This window comes from Homo sapiens, chromosome 3, assembly GCF_000001405.40.
Source record: "Homo sapiens chromosome 3, GRCh38.p14 Primary Assembly".
Classification (NCBI taxonomy): domain Eukaryota; kingdom Metazoa; phylum Chordata; class Mammalia; order Primates; family Hominidae; genus Homo; species Homo sapiens.
In genome coordinates, this window is record NC_000003.12 from 9,175,973 (window position 1) to 9,192,359 (window position 16,387).

Below are 16,387 nucleotides of genomic sequence, written 5' to 3' on the forward strand. Positions count from 1 at the left end.
GTGCGATGGCGCAGTCTCGGCTCACTGCAAACTCCGCCTCCTGGGTTCAAGCGATTCTCCCACCTCAGCCTCCAGAGTAGCTGGGACTACAGGCACGTGCCACCATGCCCGGCTAATTTTTGTATTTTTAGTAGAGATAGGGTTTCGTTATGTTGGCCAGGCTGGTCTCAAACTCCAGACCTCATAATCCACCCGCCTCGGCCTCCTAAAGTGCTGGGATTACAGGCGTGAGCAACCACAACCAGCCTAGCTTGGGATTCTTAATCCCTCCACATGTTCATTTCTCTTCTGTAACACAGGGTGATGATGGCATCTGTCACACAAGGCTATGATGAGATGGCATGAAAATGCATATGAAGGGCCTCATAGGGTACCTACCATGTAGGAAGCCCTTCATAAATGGCAGTTACACTAATGATCATAAGAAATAAATATTACTGTTATTAGTATATGTTGTGACTCTCCAAAAGGAGCACAGATTAGACAGTGTTCCTCAGATTTATTTGACCACAGATTTTACCCACAAGTAATCATCCATGGGACTCCTGTGTTAGTCCATTATTGCACTGCTATAAAGAAATGTCTGAGGTTGGGTAATATATAAGAAAAGAGGTTTAATTGGCTCATGGTTCTGCAGGCTGTACAGGAAGCATGGTGGCACCTGCTTCTGGGGAGGCCTCAGGAGGCTTCCAATCATGGTGGAAGTCAAAGTAGGAGCAGGTGCATCACACTGTAAAAGCAGAAGCAAGTGGGGGGCGGGGAGGAACCACACACTTTTAAACAGCTGTATCTCTCAAGAACTCACTCACTCATCACCAAGGAGATGGGCTAAGCCATTCAAGAGGGATTCCTCCTCTACCCTGACCCAAACTCCTCCCACCAGGCCCTACCCCAACAGTGGGGATCACATTTCAACATGAGATTTGGGCAGGGACAAATATCCAGACTGTATCAACTCCACTTAAAAGACAGAAACCTAAGTCAATAGCAGCAAGGTTATCAGGAGAGCTGGCCTGGGAGGTCCTCATTTGCATGACCTTGCTGCTAATGCCTTGATTTTCCTATTTTTTCTATCCTGAGGTTCTTAACCTGAAGTTCAGAGACTGGCTCTAGGGAAGTGTATGCAACTAAAACTTCAGGAAAAATCGTGTGTTCAAGGGCACACATTCACTCACCAACTACTGGGCACCAGCTATGTGCCAGACACTCTACTGGGTGATGTGGACACAAAAGGAAGCAAAGCCAGGTCCCTCCTGTTACGGAGTCTCCATTCTGGTGAGAGAGACAGATACTGACCAAATAATCCTATAAGAAATTTACAACTTCAGTTGAAATTGCGATGAAGAGGTTTACGGTGCAATTTGACCATATGTAAAGGAGGCATTAACTAGGTCAGAGGGAGCAGCAAGTTCAAGGCCCTTTGGAAGGAGGAATGGTGAGTACAAGGAGCAGCGAGGAGGCCGGTGGAACTGGCTGGGGGACCTGGAGGAGGCAGGAGAGATGGTGCAGCCCCTCAGAGACCATGCCACGGAGTCTGACCCATGTGCCTTTCTAGGAAGGAGGTCCGTGGCTTTCATGTATACTCAAAGGTCTCCATGATCTTAATACAGTTGAGAGGAGCTCCACTGTCAGGGGCCCAAGTCCCTGGCTTCATTTGAAGACAGTCAGACCAGCCACTGGGTGCCAAGGACAGCATCTGTGGTTTTTGTCTGTACAATATTTACTCTCTCTTTTCTGGCATCAACACTTGAGTGTTTCTTTAGGGGAAATCACCACCTCCCATTCTTACTCCTTGTGGGTTCTGTGGAATTAACTTTAACTCCTACTCTAGGGAAGACCATGTGACCCTGGTCTGGCCAAGAGAAGAAGGGCATCTCCTGGCCATAGGGATAGACCCAGAGATGGACACACAACCAAGCAGGACCAGCAAGCACCTGCCCCAGGACCTCTGCAGGAACTACTAGGAGCTGCTTTCCTTCTGCAGGTTGATATGCCTGAAGAAGGTAAGCCTGGGGCTGGGCGTGGTGGCTCACACCTGTAATCCTAGCACTTTGGGAGGCCAAGATGGGCAGATTGCTTGAGCCCAGGAGTTCGAGATCAGCCTAGGAAACATGGTGAAACCCTGTCTCTACTAAAAATGCAAAAATAAGCAGGGCATGGTGGCGCATGCCTGTAGTCTCAGCTACTAGGGAGGATGCGGTGGGAGGATCACTTGAGCCTGGGAGGCACAGGTTGCAGTGAGCTGAGATCATGCCACTGCACTCCAGCCTGGGTAACGAGCCAGACCCTGTCTCAAAAAAAATAAAAATAAAAATAAATAAGATAAGCCTGGGGCAGCTGGCAGTCACCTTGAGATTTCAAAGACTGAGGCTACCTGTGACAGAAGGCATCACTGAGGAAACTGGCACTGAGAAATGGAAAGAGACAGACCCCTGATGGTACCGTGTGAACCTCTGGACCTAGGCCTTCCTATAATCACAACTCTCCCTGGATTTTCCAATCACATGAGCCAATAAATGCCTGATTCCAGCCAGTCTGAATTGTGTTTTTGACACTTGCAACCAACAGTTTTCACTGATAGATCTCTCCAGTCACAGTTTAAAAAACTGAGATCCAGAGAGGAATCAATCATCCAACTTCACAAAGCCAGACAGCAGCACAGCACCTGGGCCTGTAGACTCCCAGGCCAGTGCTCCTGCAGCAGGCTGACGGCATGACGGATGCTCCCAATGCCTCCCATGGCCTGGATCCCTCCCTTCTCCTACCTCCTCCTCCCAGTCCCTAGGGAGAAGCTGTGCCCCTCTTCTAACCTCAAGGCCCCAGAAAGAAAAACAAATAGGGCAGGATCTTTGTTCCGCCCTAGACCCGGAGATGTCTCTGGGTACTAATTTCCTTCTGTGGCCAGGACGTGGGCAGCTCAGCTAACCCTCAGGCCACAGCTGCAACGGTTGCCCAAACCAACTTCACCTCCTTTGCTGTACTGACAGCCCTCTGAGGCCCTGCCCATCTTACCTGACCCCATTCTCCCCCATGTCCCCTGTTCATACCAGCCTCTGTCCTTCTGAGTTTCCGATCCTGCCCATCGAACAAGATCCATCCACCCAGTAACTTCAGGACACCATACACCAAGGCTTCAGGACACCATCTCTTCTTGATGCACACAGTCCCAGCTGCCTGGATCACTCCTCTGGGGGTTGGGAGGAGGACTGACTCCTGCCAGCGTATCCCCTTCCTACTGCCTTGTGTAATTTCTAGTTGTTTCAATATGTTAGGTCGAGATGCACAACTGGATGAGATGCGCAGGTACCATCAAGGCTACCAGTCTAGGCTCTGGAATCAGGCATACCTAAGTTTGAAGCCTGGCTCTGCCTCTTCCTAGAAAAGCAACCTTGGGCAAGTTACTTATCCTTGCTGAGTCTCCATTTTTTTCATCTGGAAAGTAGAGGTAATAATAGGCATCAAAAGGTTTAACTTAGTTCTTGGCACTTAGTAAGCACCTGGCAAATGTTAGTTATTGATGCTGCTGATGTTGAAAATGTCATCAGATGCCATCACCAATGGATGCCTGGTGGCTATAGCCACATGATAAAATAAGAGTAAGGTCACAACAAGAAGTCAACTATTTAGTTCTCATTCCTGCTCCTGCTCTTCACTCTCCTGAAGGCTTTGCTTTCTCATCTGTACAATGGGTATAACAGCTCTTCCAGGCCTCTGTCACAAGGAAACTGAGAGAATCAACCGAGGGCATAATAACTAACAACGTCATCTCCACAGAGTGTTACAGTTTGCAACACACTTCCAAGGTGCCATGTTGGCCTTCATAAGACCTGACTGTGAAGACGTAGAGGTCAAGCGACTAGCCCAAGGCCACATAGCTACCAAGTGGGAGAATCAAGGCTTGCACACCCACTTTGGGCTGTCCTGTTCAGTGTTGTGTCCCTGAGGTCCAGCACAGGGCCAGATGCCCGGTCAATACTCAAGTTCTCTTTCTCTACAGAGCCACACTGCCTTCCAGGCTGCAGCCTGCGAGGCCAACACTTCTGGGGCATCCCCATTGCACTCGGCACAGTGCAGGAACACATGATGTGTTAGAAGGAACTCCTGAATTGAACAGCACTCCAAGACATTCAAGAGAAAGGGAGGGACAGAATGGCTTCTACCACCTTTCACAGCTGCCAAGAGAGGTGTGGCCTGGGGAGGACACATTGTCAGTCACCTCGGCAGTGCAGGGAACAAGATTGAGGAGGGAACACCCAAGGCTCAGGAAGGACAAGTGGCCATTGCTAGGGAACTTTTAGTAGGCAGACAGCTGCCCTCAAGACAGGCTGTTTGGTTCCCACCCACAGAAAGACACGGAGAGTTAATAAGAGTTACAGCAGGGTGAGCGGGAAGCCACAGGAAGTGAGGCTAGGAGGAAGTTATTCTCAGCCTGTGTATTCCCCTTACCCTCTCTTGTCCCACCACTTTTCTTTTGGCTGCAGAAGCAGGCGACCACATCGTGTACCCTCAACCACCAAGATGAACTCGGGGAGCAGGGCGGGGAGGACAGGCCCAGAGGCTGACTTCAAGTCTGGTCCAGTTCCTACAGGCAAGTTTCACCAAAGCAACTGGAGTGGAAGGCGTGGGCAAAAGCCATACCCTGCAATCACACGAGAAACCCAAACACAAGCATCCTCTCTAAGTCCTACGTGTTCTTCAAACCCTCACTCAGACCTCATCTGCTCCGCGAATCTGTCTCCTGGCCAGGGCAATTCCCAGAGAGCTTTACCCTGTCTGAATGCAGCCCCGAGAGCAGATCCCAGTTCCCACTGTAGATCCTGAGTTGAACATGGCATCAGGAGGCACCCGCCAGCACCTCCTGCAAATGCCAGCGAGTCTCTCCTCAGCATCCCAAGTACACCATCCGCCGGCTTCACTCAGTCATTTCTCAGCAACAGGAAGCTCACAGTCTCACCAGAAAGTCCAGCCCACTGGATAGGAGAAACTGTGTTCAGACAACAGATGTCTGGAGACACGGAGGCAGCCGGGGGCAGTGGCAAAAAAGTGCATGTGATTTGGAAGCAGGAAACCTGGCTTGCAACCCCAGTTCTGTGAAGCCTCAAGCAAAATCACTTCTTTAAATTTCAGTTTCCTCCTTTGTAAAATAAGAAGCATAATATACCTATACTTCTCAGGGCTGCTGAGAGAATTGAATGAAATTATGTGTGAAATGTACCGGGAAGTGTCACGTGCTGCACAGGTGGGTGGCATTATTCAAAGACTCAAGAAGGTAAACTTGAGACCCAAAGAAATTTCCAGCATAGGCCATTTCTTTGGTTTAAGGCATTGAAGGGCCAGCCAAATGGGAAGGTAATGGTAATCGTTTTCTCTTGCTGGTGAAACAAATTTCCACAAACTTAGCTACTTAACACAACACAAGTTTATTATCTCACCGTTCTGTAGCTCAGAAGTCCAGGTTGACTCAGGGGGTTTTTTGCTTAGAGTCTTATCAGGCTGAGCTCTTATTGGAAGATTCTCGGAAAAATCTGCTTCTTCATGAATGGTGGCTGTGGCAGAATCAAATTCCTTGCAGTTGTAGGACTGAGGTTTCCTGGCTAGCTGCCCGCAAGGGATGCCCTCTGCTCCTCAGGCCTCTCCGGTCTCTGTGCCTGGGCCCAAACATCTCAGAGCCAGGGAGGGTACAACGCATCATAACCTTCTGATTTTCCCTTCTGGTGCCCCCGCTCTTCTGGCTCCAGCCAGAGAAAGTTATCATTTTTTAAAGGCCCACGTGATTAGATAGGGACCGCTAGATAATCCAGGATAATCTCCATCTTTTAAAATTGTTACAGGTTGAACTCTAACTCTCCAAAGAGGTGGACTGGAGTCCTCATCCCAATAACTCGAAATGTGACCTTAATTTTAAAAAGGGTCTTACATGGGCTGGGGACGGTGGCTCACGCCTGTAATCCCAACACTTTGGGAGGCCAAGGTGGGTGGATTACTTGAGGCCAGGAGTTCAAGACCAGCCTGACCAACATGGTGAAATCCCATCTCTACTAAAAATAGAAAAAATTAGCTGCATGTGGTGGCACATGCCTCTAGTCCCATCTACTCGGGAGGCTGAGGCACAAGAATCACTTGAACCCAGGAGGCAGAGGTTGCAGTGACCCAAGATTGTGCCATTGTACTCCAGCCTGGATGACAGAGCAAGACTCTGTCTCAAAAAAAAAAAAAAAAAAAAAAAAAACACAAAAAAGCATCTACTAATTTGGGGGCATAAATTAATTAAATAAAATAAAAAATGAAAAGGCTCTTATAGAGGTCATAGAGTTAAAATGAGGTCATCAGGGCATGTCCTGATCCAATATGACTGATATCCTTGTAAAAAGGGGAAATTTGGACAGAGGCACAGAGGGAAGGTGACGGGAAGATACACAGTGGGGACACAGCCATGGAACCAAAGCGAGGCATCTACAAGCCAAGGCACACCAGAAGCCAGAAAAGACCAGGAAGGATTTTCCCCCAGAGCCAACAGGGAGAGCGAGGCCTTCCTGATAGAGTGATTTCAGACATCCACCCTCCAAAACCATGAGACAATACATTTCTGTGGGTGTTAAGCCACCCAGTTTTTGATGCTGTGTTACAGCACTCCTGGGACACTAATACAAATATTTATTTTAAAATTTTTTTAATTTTTATTTATTTGTTTGTTTTATAGAGACAGGGTCTTGCTCTATCACCCAGGCTGGAGTACAGTGGCACAATCACAGCTCACTGCAGCCGTGAACTCTTGGGCTCAAGTGATGCTCCTGCCTCAGCCTCCCAAGTAGCTGGGACTACAGCCATGTGCCACCATGCCTGGTTAATTTTTTTAAAAAATTTTATAGAGATGGAGGTCTCACTGTGTTGCCCAGGCTGGTCTTGAACTCCTGGCCTCAAGTGATCCTCCCACCTCAGCCTCCCAAAGTGCTGGGAGTACAGGCGAGAGCCACCGTGACCAGCCCAAAGATTTTAATTATATCTGCAAAGTCCTTTTTGTTGTGTGAAATAACATTCACAGGTTCACAGGATCTCTGGGGAAACATTCTTCTGTCACCCAAACTCACCCAGTGACTATCAGTCCCCGATGCTTTGGCATTCTCAGACCCATTGAACAGAGGAAAGAGCCATCAACTGGGAATCTGAGAGAGGAGGAGGCCCAGGAAGGGACCAGGAAAATGGCCAAGTTGCAAAAACAGCTGAACTGATGCCACATTGTTTTAAATAGCAGGCACAGTGCTGGCAGGGAAGAGTGTGCACAGTGCAGCCACGGCGCCTGGGTCAAACTCTGCTTCTACCTCTTTGCACCTTACTGAGTCTCACATCCCTCTCCCTTGAAAGCAGATTATAAATGTATACAATATCTAACTTCACAGAGATGCAAGAATTAAATGAGGTCATGAAAACATGGAATACCTGGCACTTACTTACTAGAGAGCCTGGCATATAGTAAGCATTCAAGAAAACCTAGTCATTATAATTGCATATCTATTATACAGATGTTTAATTATGTACGTATAAAACATTGTACACACACACACAAGTCTGGGAGAATACACAGCACAATGTTAACAGTGCTTACTTGGGGCAGATGGCAAAGGCTTTCAATTTTTACTTTACATACCTCTAGAATATTTTAATTTTATAACAAGCATGCATTGCTTTTATAATTAAAACTATTCTTAATTAAGAACACACGGCTCCCTAGGAAACTAGTTGAACATGTCCTTCCACATGGTTGTGTTATATATAGTACTAAAACACAAATTTGCTAACACACACACACACACACACACACACACACACTGTAATGTTCACCTAAAGACCTTCTCAGTCTCCCTAGCCTTAACCCCCAGCCCCGGCCCCTCAGCCCCCACAGCTGTACCCCGAGATGAAACTCAATCCTCTGCGGCTTGCCTCTTTTGTGGAGCCAGTTGTAGCAGCGACTCCAGCCCTTCCCGGTTCTCAGCTTGCAAGCTCCTCGCCTCCTCTTGGAGCTGCATTCTGAAAGGCTCTTTGTTGCTAGGCAGAATGCTTTCGGGGGCCCTTTGAAAAAAATACTCCCTGCAGACATTTCCATCTGCTCTCAGGAGTCCCCTCTGTAAAGGGGCTTAAGGAAGCAAAGGGCACCAAGCCAGGTGTCTCTGCATTGCCCACACCCTCGACTTCCTCCCATTTCAATCAATTAATTAATATTGGGCAAGGTGAAGCCAGAGGCCATGGCAAGGAAGGAGCATGGTGCTGCCCGGCACAGTCATGACCTTTAACAAAACCTGCTTCAGTGAGTTAGAATGATTTTGTTTCACAGCACAGCAAGGGGATTAGACATAGAGACTTTGCATCAGACTGAATTTGAATCTGAACTGCCACAGCTACTAGCTGTGGGACCTTCAACACCAGGTGTTAAGGTCTTTTGAGCGTCAGTTTCTTCATCTGTCAAACAGGGATAAGTAGACCTCAAGGTTTTAAAACAGGGATAAGTAGACCTCAAGGTTTTAACAGGAGGATGGAATCAACCATCCACGTAATCTCTTAGCATCCAAAGGAAATGCTCAGTAAATGGGTGTTGTTAATGTCATTATTATTATTAGAAATGCAGACACAGATCCTGCCTTCAAGGTATTTATAGCCTAGAATGGGAATTAGGCAGAGCCACTCGGAAGTTCCATGAGGACATGGCCACAGTGTAAAAGGCATTCGGAGGCTAAGGGTCAAACAAATGGTAAAGAACGAACTAGGTGCTTTACAGGAGAGATGAGAAGAGGGAGGTTATCCAGTCCAGCCTGGCTCCTTATCCTTGCACCCCTCCTCCCAAGAGCCTCCCTCCCCCAGCTCCAGAACCATCCCTTTCAGGTATAAATCAGCTCAGAAGGTATAAATCAGCTTGGACCCCACCCTGTGGCTTCCACAATGTAAACCTCAGTGCAACAGCAAGGATCCCACCTTGTTCCCAAGCCCTGGGCTGGCTGTTGTATTGGTCATCTCCCTAGTATACCTTGTTCTTCCCATCCTCCCTCCCCAGACTAGTTCAAGACCAGCCTGGCCAACATGGTGAAACCCCATCTCTAAAACTATAAAAAATTAGGGTCTTCCCACATTATTAGAGTCTTCGGTCTTCCCACATGATTCCCAAGGGTCATAGGCCCTAGAGTCCCCTTGGCAGTATTCCATCCACTGACTGGGGCATTTGTGGTTTCACAATCACTACTGACCTCTTTGCCTGCCTGGATTCCAACCTCCCATGGACAGGCTGCATGCCCTTGGACACCATGCAAGGCCTCTTCCACACTGAGCCTCTCTATCCCTTACCTACCTGGCGAGGCCAGATTCCAGCCCCTCACACTAGCTACCCTGAGCACCAAGACGGGGCAGGGAGGATCATGACTGGAGTGGTCAAAGAGGGGTTTCAGAGGAAGAAGGAGCCATCTGTGAACTGGGCTGACTGTGGAAGGGAGGCATATCAATGGCACCCCTTTGTTGGGGTGGGGGGGCACTGCACTGGATAAATGTTGAGAAGTCGTTTTTTTCTTTCCTTCCTTATTTCTTTTTTTTTTTAGAGACAAGGTCTCACTCTGTCACCCAGGCTGGAGTGCAGTGGCAAGATTATAGCACATGGCAGCCTCAATCTCCCAGACTCAATCAATCCTCCTTCTTCAGCTCCCTAAGTAGCTGGGACTATAGGCGTGTGTCACTCAAGTAGCACTAAGGCCTGACTAATTTTTTTTTTGAGACAGGGTCTTACTATGTTGCTCAGGCTGGTCTCAAACTCCTGGGCGTAAGTGATCCTCCCACCTCGGCTTCCCAAAGTGCTGTGATTACAGGCATGAGCCACTGCACCTGATTGAGATGTCTTGATGTACGAGATTAGAGGAAAGAAAGATTAGAAACAGACTGTAATGAGCTTTGGATGCCAAGATTGATTGTTCCCCAAATGCTCCCAGGAGGATTCAGTTGAGCGGCCAGGAGTGGGCAGGCACACAGGGTTAGCAAGGATAACCTAGCTAAGTGTTGGGAAAGTTCCACTTTCCAACCAAACCCAGCAACTCAGCATTCTCCAACCGTGTCACCCCTTCAAACCCACAAACTGTTATAAATACTTGCTAAAGCCCTTTTTGCTCATGGTACATCACACTAGTTATGCTAGCTTAAAGAGCACCACATTGTCTCAAACCTTGTCGCCTTTGAACCTGGAGTCTTGTGGGCCTGGAAGGCTTTTCTCTGCCCTTCTGCCTTCAAGATCTAACTTAACCTCCAGGGAAGCCTTGTCCTTCTCTCCCAAAGAGAATCTGACGTTCTATGTTCTCATAGTACCCTGAGTGTCTCTCTATTACAATATTTATCACACTGTCTTGTGACTACTTCCTGAGTAATATAAATCTTTCTTTATTGTTACATTGTCGGCTCCTTAAGAATAGGGGTTCTGTATTATTTATTCTATAACAGCACCTGGGACGCTCAATAAATGCTTGCTGGTAGTATTATCAATATCATCTCTTATGAAATACCTACCACATGCTAAGGACTACCATAAGTACTTGAGAAACAGAAACTTGTTTAATCCTCATGTAATTCACCAGTGAAGTATTACTTCGCCCATCTTGTAGATAGGGAACCTGACCTTCAGAGAACCTCAGCTAACCGTGAGATGAAGGAATGAACCAGCTTGAGCAGGTCAACTCCCGCCCTCCCCAAACCCTGCCATGTACGACTGACCCCAGGAATAATCATGCTGTGTCCTTAGGCGGTCTAAGGTGGATGTTTATTTCCAGTTATTGAAATCTACTCAATTTGAGTCCACCAATCAATAAGCTGCTCTTGAATAAACATCGGGGGCATCTGCTATTCTACAGAGGAACAGCTTGTCATTTCAGCAGCACCAAAGCAAGGTTAATTAGCCCTTTCTATAGCCAGTGGGCACTGAAGTCTCCCCACGTTCTTACTTTTCCTTCAGCAAAAAGTTTTTTGTTTTTAAAATTTTTTTTATTATACTTTAAATTCTGGGACACATGTGCAGAACATGCAGGTTTGTTACATAGGTATACACGTGCCATGATGCGTTGCTGCACCCGTCAACCCGTCATCTACATTAGGTATTTCTCCTAATGCTATCCCTCCCCCAGCCCCCCACCCCCCGACAGGCCCTGGTGTGTGATGTTCCCCTCCCTGTGTCCATGTGTTCTCATCGTTCAACTCCCTCTTATGAGTGAGAACATGCGGTGTTTGGTTTTCTGTTCTTGTGTTAGTTTGTCCCTCAGCAAAAAGTTTTAATGGCGATCTTTCTAAAAGGCAATGTGCCTCCAAGGTGAAAAGTTGCAGAGAGGGGGTACAGTCAGTGGACTAACTGAGGAAGGGGCAGAGTGGTATTTCATCACTGCTGTCCAGTGATTGAGGGCAAGTCGGGGAGAACTGTACCAGCCCACGCCCAGACGCTGTGCTGAGTGCTCCACATCCTTTCTCTCTCCACACAGCACCTTTCACCTCTTCAAGGAAGCACAGTCTTCACCAACCTCCTAATCACAAATCGAGCAGTCTTACCCAGCCCTGGGCCTCTTCCCCCGGGAAGAATAGCTTAAGAAGTCAGCCACTGTCTCTTACTGGCTGCCCCTTTGTGCACACCACCAGCCCCCTTGGCTTATATAAATCTAGACCCTGCCACAGCTTCATCTGTGTTGCTTCTTGCTGACAGGGCATGCTCTGCCTCTCTCTCCTGCCCTGCCTCCTTTTTCCCTCACAACCTCTTCAATCCACCAGGGTCTTACCCTCAGGCTCGATCTCATTTCACCGAACGCTCGCTCACTGGATGTCCCATGCAAGGCCGTGTACGACGTGACTTATACCCGTCAGAGACGCCCTCAGAACACCTGCAATCCTTCATATTCACCCTTGACAGTGACTACAGAAACAGAAACCAGGTTCACAACAAATCCCCCAAACTCATTTAGCAAACAACCCTCTGCCAGAAGCCTATGGGAACAATAGATTTGGAATGGGACTCTGGTCCTAGACCCTTTCTGTGCCCATCCCAAATTAGAAGGAAGTAGGATGAGGGGGTGAGGGGAGAAAGAATACAAGACAGTGATCACAAAAAGCAAGGATCTAGCTGTACCCTTACCAAACGTGCATTTTTCTATGTGTACATTATACTTCAATAACACAGATTTTTGTAAGAACCCAAATAAAACAAAAGGCTGACAACTGAAAAATCCATGACCAAAATTAATAGCACGGATAATTGAAGCAGGAGAGAGATACAGAAATATTAGTTCACCTTTCTGTTCCTAATAATACCCAAGGGAAGACTGAGCAAGGAGAACCTTATGGATTAGAAGCAGGTAATTAGTGTGTCCATTTGTTATGTTACACAATTATAGGTCTTCAAAACAACTTTGGCAGAGAGTTGTAGACCTAGAGAGAAGGGCATGAAAGATAATCTAATCCACCTTTTCATTTTCTAGATGAGGAAACTGAGGCTGAGTGAGGAAGAGTCCTGTCTCCACCCAGCAATCATCTGCCACATATGCCTTCTCCACCTTCTTATCCACTGACAGAATGGACACGAAGAAAGATGAATGGGGCCACACCAGGGCTAGGAGAGCTCAGATGGACTTTCTGATATTTCTTGTGCTGGAGAAAGCTCAGAGCAACCTGACATGGCCAGTTGTGCAAAGCATATTGCCTCTCTTTGGTGCCATATCTTTTTCCCTTTGATGTGTGATCACTTCATTCCCTCCTTGATTGCTTTTCAAAAGCAATCTAAATTAATGCGAACCCACAAAGGGCAAGGCTCTCTGTGAATAATTAGTGCATGATAATAAATGCAAATAGGGAAAGATGCAAAGTTGGCCTAAGAACTACTGCTCCCTGCTCCCCTGCCCATTCTCTCCACATTGGGAATTCTCTTTACATTATTAAAGAAAGAATTTGAGTAAACTTGAGAAAGGGTGGTATTCCTAAGCAGAGCACTGGATTCATTGAAGGATGGTAGAAAGAAAGAACAGAAGCTAAAAGAATCAGACCAGTGACTGCTACAGGGTCTTTGTCCTTTTTTTGTAGGTTCCACTGAAGACAAAACACTTGTCTAGATTTCTGCCATTCAGAGGAGGACATATCATCACAGTCAAGAAGGAGCCACCATAATTTGGTCCTGTCCACTCAGGATTTTATCCTACAAACCCTGAGCTCCAGTCAATCTTGTCTCCTTTCTGCTCCTTGGCTAAATCAAATTAAAAACAAATCCAAAGCCGGGGATGAGATGTGTTCAGACCTTCCGTAAAACTGTCTTGAATATTATGCAGAGAGAACTGGACAAACTGAAGGTTAGGAAATGTTTCAGCTGGTAAGGCAAGCCCCTGCTTATTCTCCATCAAATCGTTTGTCCCGAGTCCCTTCTGGAAGTCAGTTTTTATCTATTGTCATATTTAATGGGCAGAGCTGTATGGGAAGGGGATGAAGTATCTGTGGAGCCTGAAAATTGGACTCCTCCAATCCCTTTATTCAAGATCATAGATTATTAGATCAATACAAGATTTGGGCAGGGACACACATCCAAACTGTATCATCTCCCATGCACCCCATATTCCCTACACTTCCTGTAATCCAGGGACAGAAAACAGATTTCAGCTCAAGTGCCTTCTAATCCATTTACAATGGCTGCCAGGAGGGCTATATTCAGAATAGTCTGAGAGCATGTCTGGGATCAGTAGGAAATGGGTGAGAAAATCCAGAAGTTTCATGTCCTTCACATCTCTGTCATTCCTGATTGAGTCCACCCCTGTCATTTTCACTGTGGCCAAATTAAGGCCTTAAAGGAAGAACTGACACCCAGCATCACAGAGTAAATTGATAAAAAGAACCCAGCTCTCCCTGAATCTCTTATTTTCCTATAATCCAGAGTTTAAGACAGGAGATGGATCTAAGAGTACAGTCATAATACTATAACCATTTCTAAATGCTTACTATGTGCCAAGTACTATCCTAAGTGCTTTTCATGTATATTCGCATTTAATCCTGCCAGAACACTGAGAAATAATCATCCCCGCTTAACGGGTGAAATTGACACACAAGAGTGGTCAAGTAACCCATCCAATATCCCAGGACCAGTAAGTGACAAAGTAGGGATTGACACACGGCAAGAATAGAACAGAACTGGGTCTAGAAACATCCTCACACAATCGGTGGAAGATTCTGGTAATTACACCAACACATACAAAGTCAATTCGCATTGGAAAAATACCCCATGAAGGCCCAGTGATCTTTTCAGCCCTGGTGATGTCAAAGGCTGCAGAATAAGGAGTGGAAAGTCCTAGTTACCATGACAGGAAGCACCAGTGAGTGATTTAGAAGGCAGGAGATGAGAACAGGCAATTCAGCAGGACTCAGGTAGGACGCTGAGCTCTTGGCATGAACAGATAGGTTTCGCCATGGTCTCGAGTATGACAGGTTGGTCCCAAAAGGTCCAGTTTTGCTCAAAAGATTCCCTGAAACTGAAAATGTAGTATAACGGAATATCACTGGCTGGCTCCAATCCTCGGGGCTTGCTGTTTCAGAAGAGAAAGAGGCGCCCATCGATGTATTTATAGGCTTAAAGCTGGCATGCACTGAAGCTACCTGGGGTTACTCAACAACTGTTTTAGGGCACATTTCCTCCATCTTTTTGTTTCATTAGGTTTTAGTCGGTCAGCTATCTGGGGCCTGAATTAGGATTTCACACACATCCAGAGCCAAATGACAAAACAAACAAAAGAAGCCCTGTGACTAAAACAGAACTTGGGGTCAGCAGCTCAGTAAGGGTGGCCCCCTGGAAACAACTCCTGTGTAGGATCAAAGGAAAGTCAAGTGGTATGTCACATCCCAGGGCTGGGGACCCTTAGGGGAGGGGAGCCCCACTGCCTTGAGCTCAGCCAGTCACCCCTTTGTTCCACGACCTTGGCCTGCAAAGTTCTTCCCTCCCATCCCTGAGCAAAATCCTAAAGTTCCTTCAAGTTCTGGCCCAAGTGTCGACTTCTTTGGGAAGTCTTCCCTTACTCCATCCCTACCCCACCTCTTCTTCCTACAGAAAAAAAAAGAAGTTTCTCGTCCCCCTCCTCCACACTCTGTCCTCAGTTCCCAGCCCATCCCACAAGTCTCTGGAGACTGGGAGAGCATAGGTGTGGAGTCGCCCTCATTCACCACTTTAGAGAGACTGGAACAACATCAGCAGCCCTGTGGAGGCAAGCCCAGGCCCAGGCACTATGGTCTCCCGGATTATAATGATTCACACACGGAAAACATTGGAGAGAAAAAGCTGAAAAGGAATATGCTGCCCAAATTTCTCTACCATGAGCAAGTATTGCTTTTATCATTGGAAAAACATAAAATAAACATTTTAATGGACTGCACATTTCTCACGCTAAAGGAGCTAATGGTGTTTCCTATTGTGTGGAAAACAGACCTGAACCCATCCACAGGATGCTGAAGAATCCACAAATTACGGCACGCATTGACAGTGCCTATGTACATGGGAAGGAGGAAACTCAGCCTGCCTGGGGCATCAGGGAAGGCTCCACACAGGACAGGATGAGTGAGAGCTCTCCAGTTAGACTAGGGAAGATGAGGCAGAAGGGAATTCAAGGCAGAAGGAACAGTATGGTCAAAGGCAGAGTCATGAATGTGCAAGCTAAATAATATGGCTGGAATGTGGGAGATATGGGAGATGATATCATTTGGATGGGTGTCCCCGTTCAAATCTCACATTGAACGATAATCCACAGTGTTGGAGGTGAGCCCTGGTAAGAGGTGACTGGATCATGGGGGCAGATTTCTCATGAATGATTAGCACCATCCCCCTTGGTACTGTTTTCACCACAGTGAGTTCTTGTGAGTTCTGGTTATTTAAAAGTGTGTAGCATCTCCCCCCTCACTTTCTCTCACTCCTGTTTTTGCCATGTGATATGCCTACTCCCCTTTCAGGTTCCACCATGATCGTAAGTTTCCTGAGGCCTCCCCAGAAGATGTTGGCACCTCATTTCCTGTAAAGCCTGCAGAACCATGAGCGAATTAAATCTCTTTTCTTTATAAATCACCCAGTCTCAGGTATTCCTTTATAGCAATGCAAGAATGGCCTAATACTGGAGAGAATCGTGGATGTGAGGTATGCAATAAAAGGTTAACTCCACTAGCTTGGGGTCCTCAAACTCTGCACCTTCCAAAGAAAGAACTGGCCCTTGACCAGCCCCCGGGAAATAACCTCTGAGCCCTTGGAATATCGTGCCTGATGGAATAGAGTATCTTTGTATCGCTGGGGCTTTGGGCCACCCCACATAGTTTATGCTAACAGTGTAATTCATGATAAAGGCCTGTTTTTGTTTACCTGGAGTCCCAGCCCATG

At 46.9% G+C, this 16,387-nt stretch overlaps 1 protein-coding gene across 14 annotated transcripts in view, besides 3 other annotated features; it reads right to left on the reverse strand.

The window, feature by feature from the left end:
* The window catches only part of SRGAP3 (SLIT-ROBO Rho GTPase activating protein 3), a 382,437-nt gene that overhangs the window by 195,382 nt on the left and 170,668 nt on the right, over positions 1–16,387 (reverse strand). For 2 of the 14 annotated variants that reach the window (XM_017007579.2, XM_047449338.1), the window contains exon 1: positions 4,769–5,906. The exons of 10 other annotated variants lie outside the window; for them this stretch is intronic. In XM_017007579.2, the coding sequence (XP_016863068.1) occupies positions 4,769–4,889 (121 nt within the window). In that variant the 5' untranslated portion in view covers positions 4,890–5,906. Of the gene's footprint in view, positions 1–4,768; positions 5,911–16,387 lie in introns of those variants that run through there. 2 more of the 14 variants (XM_017007575.2, XM_017007574.2) reach the window with 2 other exon arrangements.
* Positions 3,618–4,118: an enhancer, noted in NCBI's record as "H3K27ac hESC enhancer chr3:9221274-9221774 (GRCh37/hg19 assembly coordinates)". NCBI's record gives its function as "activates a minimal SCP1, AML or CMV promoter by ChIP-STARR-seq in primed H9 embryonic stem cells {active_cell/tissue: H9 hESC(primed)}" and the evidence as "EXISTENCE:reporter gene assay evidence [ECO:0000049][PMID:30033119]".
* Positions 4,376–4,425: a silencer, noted in NCBI's record as "silent region_14030". NCBI's record gives its function as "represses an Ori minimal core promoter by ATAC-STARR-seq in GM12878 lymphoblastoid cells {active_cell/tissue: GM12878}" and the evidence as "EXISTENCE:reporter gene assay evidence [ECO:0000049][PMID:35858748]".
* Positions 4,496–4,595: a silencer, noted in NCBI's record as "silent region_14031". NCBI's record gives its function as "represses an Ori minimal core promoter by ATAC-STARR-seq in GM12878 lymphoblastoid cells {active_cell/tissue: GM12878}" and the evidence as "EXISTENCE:reporter gene assay evidence [ECO:0000049][PMID:35858748]".